Source organism: Homo sapiens, chromosome 3 (assembly GCF_000001405.40).
Source record: "Homo sapiens chromosome 3, GRCh38.p14 Primary Assembly".
NCBI classification, from domain to species: domain Eukaryota; kingdom Metazoa; phylum Chordata; class Mammalia; order Primates; family Hominidae; genus Homo; species Homo sapiens.
In genome coordinates this window covers 45187184-45201731 of record NC_000003.12, presented here as the reverse complement: position 1 = coordinate 45201731, position 14548 = coordinate 45187184, and the positions used below count along the sequence as shown (strand labels likewise).

Genomic DNA, 14548 nt, shown 5'->3' with positions numbered 1-14548 from the left:
GTTTGTTTATTTGAGACGGAGTTTCGCTCTTTTCACCCAGGCTAGAGTGCAATGGCGTTATCTTGGCTCACTGCAACCTCTGCCTCCAAGATTCAAGTGATTCTCCTGCCTCAGCCTCCTGAGCGGCTGGGATTACAGGCACCTGCCACCACGCCCAGCTAATTTTTGTATTATTAGTAGAGACGAGGTTTCACCATGTTGGCCAGGCTAGTCTTGAACTCCAGACCTCAGGTGATCCACCCGCCTTGGCCTTCCAAAGTGCTGGGATTACAGGCGTGAGCCACTGCGCCTGGCCTGAGGGGTTTTATTCCAGGGAGAAGGAATAGGTGATCTGTGGTTTGTGCTTATAAGGGATTGGGCTTGAATGGGGACATTTGCAGCCTGCCTTCAAGGCTTCTACGTGCCTCATGGACTCAAACTCCAAAATAAAACTTCCAAACATCCCCTTTCTAGACCTGTGGTGGCAACAGGTGACCCATTGGGAAATCTAGGATCCTGGACCCAAGGACCAGAGCCAGGATGTGAGGTGGGCTGTATTGCCCTACTTGGTAGCATCTCATTGCCTACATCTGATCTTTGAAGGAGTTGGTGGCTTTCAACTTGCCAGAAAAAGGACCTCTTACAGAAAAATTGGTTTGGAAGGCCTATACATGAAGAGGAAGCTGTGGAAAAGGGGTGTTCCTTTGCTGAACCTCCTAGAGTAATAATTACTGTGTAGTATGACCAACACTTTATTATGACCAACCTTTATTATAACCATGTTTTATTTTAAATGCCTGGCTTCTAGTGACAATGTACACCTGGAAAAATAAACAAGTTTGAGGCTGGTTACAAAAGGAAAAAAAGATGCTCACTAATGGTGCTGAATAATTAAGAGAGAACAGAAAAAGAACACACTTGATTAAGCATCAATGGGGTCTGAGGCTATTCTAAACATTTTACTCACTGTATCCCATTTTATTATTGTGACACAAAGGTAGGGTGTAATAATCCCCATTTTACAGTTTCCATGAGCAAACAGAGCTCCAGAAAGGTTAAGTCACCAGGCTGGACAGTAACAGAGCCAGAATTCTCACCTGGGTCTGAGTCTGACCTCCTCTAGCTAGAATTATTGCAAACAAACCAATGTGCCTGACAAATATGGGGCACAGTTATATCACTGCCACATAATTAAAAAGGATAATTGCCCCAGGGAGAAGAGCGGCACATGGTGACGAAGTCCCCTGAAGGGTGGCAAATATCTTGTGAGTTCAGGGGAACTAGATGATGACACCAGCAGGTCCCAGCTGGCAAGTGCCTCCTTGCTTCCCTATGAGTTTGCTCTTCCCAACAGTCACACAGGAGTGTCCCTGTCTTTCTACTGTCCTGCCTCCAAGTGTTCTCATCTTAGCCTGTCCTTTTAGATCATTCTCCAGACTTCTAAATAGGTTCTCTTTTCTGTTGATTAAAATAATAATAATAATAAGGCTTTGATTCTAAGCCTGTTACATACAATGATTCTTAACTGGATGGTGATTGGTGATGACTCACTTACCAGCGATGTGGGAGTGTCCTTACATTCCTGCGGGCTTGGAAAGTATTCCCTGAGAGCCTTTCCTTGTGTTGAAGTCCATTCATCTTCCTTGCGTTCCCCAACCTTACACAACATCTGTCCTCCTGTCTGCTTACCTGCAGTGTAATCAAGGATCTCACAGGCATGTTTGATGCTCAGAGAACTCAGGGATGTTTCAATCAGCGACTGTCCCAGAGCTGCCCTGCATCTTAGTCATCGTGTTCCGATGGGTTTCTGCACTTCCTTCATTCATAAGAACTGTTAGTTCAGTGCCTTTTTAGGAAAGGATCACCCAGCAGGAGAGCTGGAGAGTTTTTGGTCTGCATAATAAGTGGGAATCACAAGGAGATGACAAATACAGTTGAGGGGTTGGGCTGTGGGAAGAGTGGAGATTAAAACAGGTAGAAAAGGTGGCTGAATGCTGGGCAGGAAAAAACCCAGTCACAGAGGAAGGCTATCTTGAAAGGAGCTAGCCTTGGAGGAAGGCTTGCGAGGATGATTTCACTCTGCATGGAAAAGATGGTTGCAGTTGTATTTTTTAAAGATGGATGCAATATCTCCCACCTCTCCCCAACCCCATGCTTTTCTATTACCTTATCATTTCTCCATCAAGAGGTGGAGTTCAATTCCCCTCCCCTTGATGTGGGGTGGGCTTTTGTGACTGGTTTGTTTGTTTGTGTGTTTGTTTTTTAAGACAGGGTCTCACTCTGTCACTCAGGCTGGAGTGCAGTGGCACAATCACGGCTTCACTGCAGCCTTGACCTCCCCAAATTCAAGCAATCCTCCCACCTCAGCCTCCTGTATAGCTAGGACTACAGGCACACACCGCCACGCACAGCTAATTTTTGTATATTTTGTAGAGACAGAGTTTTGCCATGTTGCCCAGGCCGGTCTTGAACTCCTGAGCTCAAGCAATCTGCCCACCTCAGTCTCCCAAAGTGCTGGGACTACAGGCGTCAGCCACCACACCCATCCTCTTTGTGATTGTTTCAATTAACAGCATGCCATTGAAGTGATGCTGTGTGACTTCAGAGGCTCAGCTGTAAAAGGGACCCATATTCCACCTTATTCCCTGTGATCCTCACTCCTGAAGTTTTGAGCCCTGTGTAAGCATTTTAACTGTCCTGAGGCCATCAGTCTGTGAGGAGGCCTAAACCAGTCCACATGGAGAGGCCACAGAGGCCCTGAAGCCATATAAAGAAGCAGAGGTGCCCAGCCGGCCACCTGCTGCTTCAACCCTGGCTCTCCAAGCTCCAGCCACTGTCCAAGAGTAACCACACAAATGACTGGAACCAGAACCACCCCAACAAGCCTTTCCCAAACTCCTTATCTACAGAAATCCTGAGAGATTACGAAACTGTAAGGCACTAAATTGTGAGGTGATTTGTTCTGCGGCACTAGCTAGCTAAACAGAAGTTCTGGCCAAGTCTATATTAGGCAAGATAACAAAGTGGAGTCATTGTAAATCATTTGAAGAAAGAAACATTTTGCTTGTCTTTTCTGGATTTTCTATGCCAAAGCATTTTGGATTAAATCAATAGCACTTTCACCAGCCTATGGCCTCAAAATGATGCCCTCCTTCCTTATAACCACATGGTAAAGACCCAAGCCCCATCATCTTGACCACTGGCTATCAGCAACCCTGTGGTTCAACCTGCTACTTCTAGGAGTCACATGGGGTGTCCTCTCAGGCCTGCTGATCCACTGCAGTTTCTGTCCCACCTGTGCATCACTTCCTGCCCCAGCCACCCCTCCTCCTGGCCAGGACATTGCCCACAAGGTCATTTGGTGGAGCTTTCTCACTACCATGCCATCTGGTTCTGGCGCTGAGGCAAGGTGACCAGTCCTGCCCACAACCAGTGCCCCATGGTGCTCCCAGGACCCTAAAGCAGATGTGCTTGGGCCCAGGGTCTCCAAAAATCTCATCTGAGCAGCTTCATTCTCTAACCCTTTTCCTTTCTCTATTATGGTTCAAAGAAGAGATGCCATAGCATCCCTCTGGTGGTCCTTCTGTCTCCTCCAGCCCATCCTCCAATTAAAACTGATCCCTCTTCCCCTCACTGTAGATCAAAAGATCCCATGCAGGCCGGGAGCGGTGGCTCACGCCTGTAATCCCAGCACTTTGGGAAGTCGGGGAGGGAGGATCACTTGAGGTCAGGAGTTAAAGACCAGTCTGGCCAACATGCTGAAACCCTGTCTCTACTAAAAATACAAAAATTAGCTGAGTGTGGTGGCACATGCCTGTAGTGCCAGCTACTCAGGAGGCTGAGGCAGGAGAATTACTTGAACCCAGGAGGCAGAGGTTGCAGTGAGCTGAGATCAGGCCACTGCACTCCAGCCTGGGCAAAAAGACTGAAACTGCATCTCAAAAAATATTTTTAAAAAGATCCCATGCATACAAAGAGAAGCTGGGTTGGGATGGGGGGGATTTTTATACATCAGGGCCCTTGTGCAACCCACCAAAAATACTTCCTAACTGGAATCATCTCAACCAACAGCCTCATCTCCACAGAGTACATTTGACTTCTGAGGAGTCAAAAATTTTTTAAAGGACTATTTAAATTGTATTTCAGAGAAATGGGGGTGAGAGAATTAAGATATAAAACCTGCTGGCAATAAAACTCTTCCACTTATGGGAATCTTTCCTGGTGGATTTTGTGGGAGCATTATTGCATGTTTCATTACAGACTTGAGCAGACACTGGTGCCATTATGGAAACACATCACAACACGGGGTTCTCTGCAAACCAGTTTGCTTTAAAAATGCATTTAAATTATGCTCTGCAGGCTTTATGCCATAGACCTGAAATCAGCTAAGAGCTGGTTATCCCAGAGTCCTGGTCTACATGATTAGTGGGATCCATTAATAGATGGGTATATCTATCAGGTCACTGGGAATCTGAAAGGACAGCTACTGTGGTATGGAACATTTTTGTAGCCATGCAGAACAGAATCTGAGCTGAAATCTGCAGCTGTGTACCTACTTGGAGTTTCTAGACAGGACACTAAAGATGAGGAAATTATTTGTTGAGACCTCATGAAAATTAAAGACATGGGAAAGAAATGAAAAGAAAAGCTATGGCTTTAAAGAGTCTGCAAAAAGGAAAGAGACGTTCAGTGTTAGTGAAAGTCAGTGCAGAAGAAGATGGAATGGAAATTTTGAAGCAGAAGCCACTATTATCACAGACTGCAAATGACATCTCACCAGAGAATCGCCCAAGGTGAGAAGCACCATATTCAAAAGAGCTTCTACTTAACATGGCCACCGTGAAAATACTTTCCCCAACTCCTACCCACCCTGAGGCTTTTCAGAAAATCACCAAAATGTCCTTGACTAACAGCAGTACCTCACTCTTGCCATAGAGATGTCTGACCCACCATCTCTTTCCTCTCCTGCCAGGCAATGGGTGCCCTCCTTCAGCCCATTCCTCCTTTCTTCTGTCTCCACTACTCATGGATCAATTAGCTCCCAGACATATGGCTGCTACCCAACCGCTTGTCCAACAAGATCCCAGCTTTGTTCTGTACCTACCTTCCTCCATGGCAGTTACATGATTTGTAGGGGATGAGCCCAACTTCATCTCCCAAAGAGTGGGTGCTAATTAGTGTAAGCCAATGTTGGTGGCACCATTACCCTCACCTGTGATTGGGTTAGGCAGGAACATATCATACAATTTTGGCCAATGAAATATGAGTGAATGTTTATGGGGAGTTTTGGGAACCATTTTTGTTTTGGTTTGGCTTTTTAATAGAGATGGGGTCTCATCATGTTGCTCAGACTGGCCTCAAACTCCTAGTCTCAAACAATCCATCTTGGCCTCCCAAAGTGCTGGGATTATAGGCATGAGCCACTGGGCCAAGCCTGGGAATCATTTTTTACTGGTAAAAGAGACATACCTCCCCCTTTTATCACTAGACATGGTTGGGTCTGCTGATGATGCTAGAACTGTGGTGGCCATCCTGGGACTAAGGAGAGCCAACCTAATGATAAAAGAGCAAAAACAAGGAAAGAACCCAGGTATTTGGTCCTGTCGTTGAGCTGCCAAACTATCAATGTTGGAGACACCCCGGCTTGGGTATTTATATTGGTTGGTCCACTGTCAGTTGGTATTTCTGTTGCTTGTATCTGAAAATATCCTAACTGATATAACCATTTAGCTTACTCCTTCCTCCATTCTTCCAGCTCTTGCCCAGTTGGAGAAAGCAGCTTAGGGATTCTCTGTCTCTATATTTTTCCTTTCTCTTTTTATTCCTTTTGTGAACCCAAAGGTAACTATCATAATTGCTGATAGGTTTAAGAGACAGCTCAACCTTGCAACTGTATCATAGAAAGAGAAACCCTGAAGTTTTAAAGTTAAATGACACAACATGTTCCAAAGGAATTGTTCTACTTCTCAGGGGTCACAGATCCCTTTGAAAATCTGATAAGAAGGCCGGGTGTGATGGCTCACACCTGTGATCCCAGCACTTTGGGAGGCCAAAACGGGTGGATCTCTTGAGATCAGGAGTTCGAGACCAACCTGGCCAACATGGTGAAACACAGTCTCTACCAAAAATACAAAAATTAGCCAGGCATACTGGTGGGCGCCTGTAGTCCCAGCTACTCAGGAGGCTGAGGCAGGAGAATCATTCAAACCCGGGAGGTAGAGGTTGCAGTGAGCTGAGATCGCACCACTGCACTTTAGCCTGGGTGACAGCGTGAGACTCAGAAGGAAAGAAAGAAAAAAAAGAAGGAAGGAAGGAAGGAAAAGAAAGAGAAGGAAAGGGAGGAAGGGAGGAAGGGAAGAAGGGAAGAAAGGAAGGAAGGAAGGGAAAATCTGGTAAGAGCCAAGAGGTAGCTCATTAGAAAAGTGCACATGCACACCCGAATGTGCCCATATGCTAAAGTTTCCAGAGGGACTTTGGAATCACTAGTGGGAATCTCCACAGCCTAAGGTGTGTTCATGGTGCTGTGTTTTTTATTCAAGAAATGGGATGGAGAAAATTTTCTTCACCAAAAATCAGGAGAAGGCTTTAGAAGAGAGCAGTGGGGCAGGGTGGGTGGGGCATGCTGTTCTCATGGAAGAAGTCATAAAGAGGCTGGACTGTGTTCCACAAATGTTTATGGAATGAAAAGGGGAAGAGAGGAACTCTGGAAAATAACCAAGTGGAAAAACGAAGAAGGGCTGCGGGCACCCGGATGGTAGATGCCCATGGCAGGTGGTGAGCTTTCTGCATAGCTCCTCCAAGTGTCACGGAATTCACCAAACTCACGAAATGTTGAGAAAGGTTAGGTTTCCTATGGAAAACAGTGGTGGGGGCTAAAATTTACATTTGGGTTTGCTGTGAGGCAACACACACAGACATACAGGGTGAAGGCAGAGAAAAACCCAAACAAAAAAGTCTTTTGAGACAGGATCTCACTCTGTTGCCCGGGCTGGAGTGCAGTGGCATGATCATGGCTCACTGCAGCCTTGACCTCCCAGGCTCAAGTAATCCTCCCACCCCGGCCTCCTGAGTAGCTGCAACTACAGGTGCACACCACTACACTTGACTAATTTAATTTTTTTTAATCTTAAAATTTTTTAGTAGAGATGAGGTCTCACTATATTGCCCCAGGCTGGTCTCAAACTCCTGGGCTCAAGCGATCCTGCTGCCTTGGCCTCCCAAAGTAGTAGGACTACAGGCGTGAGCCACCACACCCAGCCCAAAAAAGTTTTTAAAAAGAATTAGGAATTAGAACATGCAGAAACTGTGAGGCAAACTCTGAGTTTACTTAACCCACTACACACTGTGTTTAAGTCAAATTTCCTAAATCTCCATGGGGCAGGAAGACCCCCAAATGACATTCAGATCACACATACACAGCCCTGAGTTAAGCAGCATGCCCAGAATGACACAGTTCCTAAGTGACGAGCTGGGATCCCAAGCCTATTCTGACTCAGATCCATCAAAGGAAAGAAAAATGTTTTAAAGGTTATTTTTCTTAATCACTGGTACTGCCATAATATTGACTTCTATTTTTATTATTATTATTTTGTGTTTCTTTGAGATGGAGTATCACTCTTGTCGCCCAGGCTGGAGTGCAATGGTGCAATCTCGGCTCATCGCAACCTCCACCTCCCAGGTTCAAGCGATTCTCCTGCCTCAGCCTCCTGAGTAGCTGGGACTGTAGACAAGCACCACCACACCCAGCTAATGTTTGTATTTTTAGTAGAGACGGGGTTTCACCACATTGGCCAGGCTGGTCTCAAACTCCTGACCTCAGATGATCCACCTGCCTCATCCTCCCAAAGTGCTGGGATTACAGGTGTGAGCCATTGCAGCCAGCCCCTATTTTTATTATTAAATATAATTTTGCAATAATTCAGCTACATTCATTATTCTTTCACCCATATTAATCAAGAGTCTATTATATGTATAAGGTATTCAAGGTTGGGTTTTGGTTTTCCGATTCTGACATTCCTCTCTTCTACCCCTGGGATTTCTCATCAAAGGGACTGTACTCATAAGGAATGAGAACTAAATGGGAAATAAGGTAGTGCTGCATAAACACAGAGGAAGACCCTGTAACTAGCATGACCATATGCCCTGGTGTCATTGGAACATGCCCAGTTTGTGCCTATTTTCTCAGTGTCCATGTTAATAACTGGACCCCTCTTCACTCTCAAGATGCCTGGTTGGATCATGAGTTATATGGTGTCCCTACTGAGAATCCCAGTGCAGAGTTCTGGTACGAGCTGATGTGGAGCAAGCAGTTCAGATTAGGAAGCCTAAAAGAACCCTTGATTTTCACACACCAACCCGACTCCCCATGAATCTCAGGTACCCGAATCTGAAGCTTCCAACCTTAGGTGGAGAAAGTAGACTAGAAAGAGGCAGGTCTTGCCAGGTTGTGTGCACTACACGGAACAGAAAGTGAAGGAGCAAAGGATGCCTGGGCCTGCCCGGAGAAGACAGGCTTTGCTTATTTATACTTACCACACATGGATGGGAAGGGCAAGGGGAAACTCTCTAGTGTGCCCTCACCTCTGACACTCAGTGACCCAACCCACTGGTAAACTGCCGCCCAATCCATGTCTCGGGATCTGACCACTCATGTTACCAATTCTTCCTCCCCTGGGAGGAGCTAGGTGTCAGGGCAGCCTAAGAAGCCTCCCTTTCCCTGTAACAGGCTCTAACAGTGTATAAAATATACTATCACAATATATAATATATCAGGATACAACAGTAACCTGCTAGGGTGCCTTCAAAATGGAATAAGACAGGTTCATGTGTACTAGGAGCATCTATGGTGTGGCCACAAAGTCTGGAGATGTAGATCATATTTTATTTTTCTATAGATTGAAAAGCTCTTGACGATGTTATGTATGTTGACGTACGTCAGTTTACTTTGCAGACACTGTGTAGTTTATCAGAGGAGCAAAGGTATGCACACAAATGCCCACAATGCAAAGTAGAAAGCAGTGAGAAGCATAAAGGAGACACAGATTGTGCTACAGGGACTTGGAAGAGGAGAGTCCTGACTTGGCCAATCTGGGAAGTCTTCATGGAGGAAGGAAGGGCCAAGCGAGAGTTTAAAGTGAAGGTGGGGCTTCAATGTGTGGAAGTGGAAAAAAAGGGTATTTGCTTCAGAAAGACTTCTTTTGGTAGCAAAGAGAAAAAGAAAACTAACTCAGACTATTTCATAGAAAATAGGTTTCCTATAGGAAATACATGGACTAGAGTGAAAATGAGAGATTTGGCAACTGAAACAATTCCAGGAGCCTGACCTTCCCTTAACAAATTTTTTCCTCCCTTTGCAGGTTTTCTCTACTTTCCTCTCTGCTCCCACTCTGCCATACAGTACGTGTTTGTTTTTTGCTTTGGGCAAACACAGACTATGGACTATGTGCCAGGTACTATTCTAAGGGCTTTAAGCAATTTTAACTCATGTAACCCTCCTAACAACCCTGTGCAGTGGGTATTATTATCATCCCCTATTTTACAAATGAGAAGTGGGTGCAGAAAGGATAAATGACTTAGCCAAGGACATATGGCTTGTTGTGGTGGGGCCAGGATGCAAAACGAGGCAGCTCAGTTCCAGGGCTCTGGTCACACTCAGTGGCTCTGCCACCTCCTGCTTGGTCTCATGACAGCTGAGGCAGCCTGGTCAATAGCCCAGGATGTGGTCTGATGGTAAAACCTCTTCCCAGCAGTAACAGTGATTAGTTGTGCTAATCCGATTTCCTAGCTCTCAAGTGTGGACAAAAAAGGCCAGTGGATGGAGGGAAGAGAGGAGGGCAAGCCCACAGCAAGTCCCCAGCTCTAGAGTGGAGAGTCCTCGCTCCTTCCATCGTGGTCCCACAGGTATTCTACACTGATCTGGCCTTGGTAGACCTAGTTCTGTGGTTTCCTAGGCCTGGATCTTAGGCTTCCCTGCCCTCCTGAGCATGAGGATCTTTGCAATAACTGTGCTCACTCTTAGTTGAGGTAGTTTGAGGGAGTTTATGTTTCTTGGAATCTAGAAAGCCCCACCTCTACTCTCTACTCTGTAGAGCTCAGAAGGACTACTAGTGCTGGCTTGGTTTTTAACTCACTGGGTGAACTGGACAAATCACTTCCGTTTTTTCTCTGCCTGGTTTGCTCTAGCTACACAAATGCAAAGACCCTCGTGTGTGGTTAACTGGAATAAGATATAGGTGGAAGGGGATGCACTGGATCTTACAATGGCTCTGGCATGTAAAAAAATATGGGAGGCAGGCCGGGCGCAGTGGCTCATACCTGTAATCCCAGCACTTTGGGAGGCTGAGGCAGGGGATCACGAGGTCAGGAGATTGAGACCATCCTGGCTAATACGGTGAAACCCCGTCTCTACTAAAAATACAAAAAATTAGCCGGACATGGTGGCGGGCGCCTGTAGTCCCAGCTACTCGGGACGCTGAGGCAGGAGAATGGTGTGAACCCGGGAGGCGGAGCTTGCAGTGAGCCAAGATCACACCACTGCACTCCAGCCTGGGCGACAGAGCGAGACTCTGTCTCAAAAAAAAAAGGGAAGCCAAGCACAGGGGTTCATGCCTGTAATTCTAACACTTTGGGAAGCTGAGACCATAGGATCACTTGAGGCCAGGAGTTCAAGACCACCCTGGGTAACAAAGTGAGACCCCAATTTGTAAATTTTAAAAAAATTAGCCAGGTATAGTAATGTATGCCTGTAGTCCCAGCTATTCAGGAGGCTGAGGTGGGAGGATGGCTTAAGCCCAGGAGTTCAAGGCTGCAATGAGCTACAATCACATCACTGCACTCCATCCTGGATGACAAAGGGAGACTGCATCTCTTAAACAAAAAAAATCAAGGGAGAAAGTATTATTATAAAGACTGTGAAATTGGGTAGCTCTTGCTAACCACCATTCATGCTTTAAAGAGAGAAAATAACAGGCCAATGACAAGTCATCATCAGTTCAAACTGTGAAAGTCAGAGGGCTTCCTTGGCAGTGGTTAAAGGCATAGTGGCTCCTCTCTTATAGCCAAAAGGCAGACCGTGCTGAAGGGCAGCTTTAGGACCCAACTGTAAAAATAGCAGAACTTCAGAGCGTTGATTTCTCAGCCCCATCAAAACCAGAGACGCGAATCAGACCTACCCAAGTGCCATCACCCCATAGTGGGAAAGCTGTCCACTTCTCCCATGAGGGAGACTGACCATGAGACATCAAATGACCTTGTTGCCAGAACTGCCCATCATGAGCTGGGTAATGTCAGACCCACCAGTTGATAAGGTTGGCAGGCCCAGCAGCAATTCTTCAAAGATGGAAGCCGTGGAGGCAGGATCAGGTGTACAAAGGGCAGAGCGCACGAGTGGGCCATGTGATGAGGTGGCGGCCCCACATGGCACCATCACTGTTGCACCGACATCTCTCCCTCCGCCCACCCCTTTGGCCCCACAAGAAGTTCCTATGACCTGCTGACACAGGATGGGAAAAGTCAGAGCTTGGTTCATGCGTGAGTTGGCTTGATATGTGGGTACCAGTTGAAACGGATTGCTGCTGTACCACAGCCCCACATGGGTGACCCTGAAAGGCAGCTTGCAAGGAAATCTTCCTGATGGGCCGGGCTTTGGATGAAGTGCACTGGCCCTCCGCTTTGTGTGGAAAGAGAGGCCTGAAATAAGAATATACACAGATGCACGAGCAGTGAGGAATGGCTGAGCTGGTTGATGAGGGGCCTAAACTAACAAGATTGGGAGATCAGGGACAAGAAGATCTGGAGAAAAGGCAGATGGTGGATCTAGGAGAGTACGCACAAATTGTGAGGATCTCTGTGTTGCATGTTAATGCCCATCAGAGAATATCTGCTGCAGAATAAGCACTAAAGGATGGGCACTGTGGCTCACCCCCATAATCCAAGCACTTTGGGAGGCCGAGGTGGGTGGATCATCTGAGGTCAGGAGTTCGAGACCAGGCTGGCCAACATGGTGAAACCCCATCTCTACTAAAAATACAAAAATTAATCGGGTGTGGTGGCAGGTGCCTATATTCCCAGCTACTCGGAAGGCTGAGGCAGGAGAATCACTTGAACCCGGGAGGCAGAGGTTGCAGTGAGCCTCGATGACATCACTGCACTCCAGCCTGGGCAACAGAGTGAGACTCCGTCTCAGAAAAAAAAAAAAAAAAATAGGCACTAAATAACTAAGTGAACAGGATGACTCCACCACTAGACATCAGTCTTTGTCCTCAAACACTCAGTGTTTGCACAGTGGGCTCATAAATGGAGTAGCCAGGGTGGCAGAGATGGAGTCTATTCAGAGGCCTATAGCATGGCTCACCTCTCACTGAGACTCCTCTAGCTCTTGTTGCTGCTGAGTATCCTACCTGCCAGCAATGGAGATTAACTCTGAGGCTCCAACATGGTATTATCCCTTGAGGAGACCAAACGACTGCTTGGCGGGAAGTTAATTACCCAGGAAGGACAGCGATTAATCTTGTACAGGATTGATACATATTCCAAGGATGTGTCTTCCTTGCCTGCCTGAAAGGTCTCAGCAAGCACAGCAGCCACAAACAGCCCTTGAAAATATCTATTGCAGGAAGCCCAGAAAGGAAGCACCAAGGTGATTTAAGGGACTGTTCTTGGGGTTGTGGGGGAAAGGAAATAAAAGGAAGCTAAGATCTGAGATCCCAGAAGATCTTAATACTGACTCAAGACTCTTTTGAAAGATGTAAACTCCAATAGAGCATATGGATGATTTGTTTGATCCTTTCTGGGGCTTAAGCCAAGACCCTATCAAGCAATTAAGTGGGAGACTGTGCTTATGAACAGCTCTTTTGAAGTAAGGCAGATGTTCTCCTTGCTTCTCAGAATAGTTTAGGCCAAAGCATTTCGTGGGCATAAATTAGCCTAATATCAGTGTCAATGCTCTATTTCAGCTTACTCGTGAAGACCTGGTCTTTGTGCTGTAAGCAATTAAGAAAGACAGAATTCTTAAGTGTATTCCAAGGAAATGTAAAAACAAAGTGTTCAATGCACACTTATGTATATATATTATGATGTTCATAACAAAAGTGTAAAAACATATATGGGAAAGATTGAAACTTACTTTGAGGTAGTGGTTTTCTGGGCAGGCAGGAAGAGAAATGTGTCTATGTGTGTTACTTCTTATTTCTGAAATAAAATGACAGTATCTGAGCAACTGCAGCAATAAGTTAACTTCTGTTAAATCCGAGTAAGTGGTACCTAATTTTCTCTATGTTCAAAATATTTTATAATTTAAATTAAGAAAAAAAAAACCTAAACTTGTAGATGGAAATCATTAGATTAAAGGAGTCTTTCCCAGGGGTGGGTATAGTAAGCCCCTTACAGAGGATGACTTGATGACTTTCTATAGATAATAGATGTTGGGGGGTTGCCCACAGCACCCAGAGTCGTCTTTGCTTCACACAAATCTGACCATATTTGTTCCCTGCTTAAAAGCTTTCCATGGCTCCCCATGTTCTTCAGGATAAGCTGATGCCCTTTTGGCCTGGCAAACACAGTCCTTGAGGATGGTTCTCCAGACCTCGGGAACAGCCCCTCCCACCATGCTCCCACATGCACCACGTGCCCCTAGATCCTGAACTCCCTGGGCTCTGAGCATGCTCTGGCTCGCCTCTGAGATGCACACATACTGCTCTGACTAGGCAGTCTCACCATCAAGGCCAAGATATCTCTATCCTTCAGCTTAGACGTCACTTCCTCCAGGAAGCCTTCCCATCTAGAACTTTGTGGTTGCTTATGTGACCACCAAGCATCCATTCACCCTCCTTCCAGGGATATCCCCCAATTTCACTAGAAAACCACATACTTACCCCAGTTTCAGTCCATTTGCTGAAGCAAGGCTGAGACCAGACCTACTCTAGGGATGCAGTGTGGGGCTGCCCCTGGGCTCCCTTGATACACAGTGATAGCTTCAGGAACTGAGGACAACAAGACTCAAGGCCACTTTTGCTGAGTCAGAAACACCTGCTGAGAGACATGGGAGACTGCTGCAGCCTTCTAGCGATCCCAGGAGAGAGCCCACCTGAGAGTGGAGTGAATACGAAGGGAAGAAAGACAAACAACAGGTCCCGGCAGCATTCCACCCTAGTAAGAGTGCACCCGACGGTGGCCTACCCTGGGATGCTCATGTTATTTAAGCCAATTATTCCCTGCACCATGCCCATGCCCACCTTTTCTGTACACATTTAGTTAGTCTTCCTTACCCAAAAAAGGTTGGGTAAGTACACTTGGATAAGTATATCCACCCTCCTGCCTCCCTGCAGACCCTGGGTTACCCAAGCTCTTTGGGTGGTCCCCTGGGAGTGGTACTTTTTTTCTTTTCTAAATCAAACTAAATGTGACTCTGTGTCCCTTTACCTGGAGGATGTGCAGGAGCAGTCATTGCCACACTTCCTTTGGATTCTACCAAAATTTCAGAGTGTGTGTGGTGCCGAGAAAACAGGGAGAGGGCCCATCTTGGTTCCTGATGGGCACAGGCATCACTGTGGCTCCTTTTGCTACCCGAGAC

General features: G+C 46.3%; 4 annotated features.

The window, feature by feature from the left end:
- Positions 562-1329: an enhancer, noted in NCBI's record as "H3K27ac hESC enhancer chr3:45241895-45242662 (GRCh37/hg19 assembly coordinates)". NCBI's record gives its function as "activates a minimal SCP1, AML or CMV promoter by ChIP-STARR-seq in naive H9 embryonic stem cells {active_cell/tissue: H9 hESC(naive)}" and the evidence as "EXISTENCE:reporter gene assay evidence [ECO:0000049][PMID:30033119]".
- Positions 562-2285: a biological region, named in NCBI's record as "CDK7 strongly-dependent group 2 enhancer GRCh37_chr3:45240939-45242138".
- Positions 1086-2285: an enhancer, noted in NCBI's record as "CDK7 strongly-dependent group 2 enhancer chr3:45240939-45242138 (GRCh37/hg19 assembly coordinates)". NCBI's record gives its function as "activates an origin of replication core promoter dependent on BRD2, BRD4, P300/CBP, MED14 and CDK7 cofactors, with strong dependence on CDK7, by STARR-seq in HCT116 cells {active_cell/tissue: HCT116}" and the evidence as "EXISTENCE:reporter gene assay evidence [ECO:0000049][PMID:35650434]".
- Positions 1330-2095: an enhancer, noted in NCBI's record as "H3K27ac-H3K4me1 hESC enhancer chr3:45241129-45241894 (GRCh37/hg19 assembly coordinates)". NCBI's record gives its function as "activates a minimal SCP1, AML or CMV promoter by ChIP-STARR-seq in naive H9 embryonic stem cells {active_cell/tissue: H9 hESC(naive)}" and the evidence as "EXISTENCE:reporter gene assay evidence [ECO:0000049][PMID:30033119]".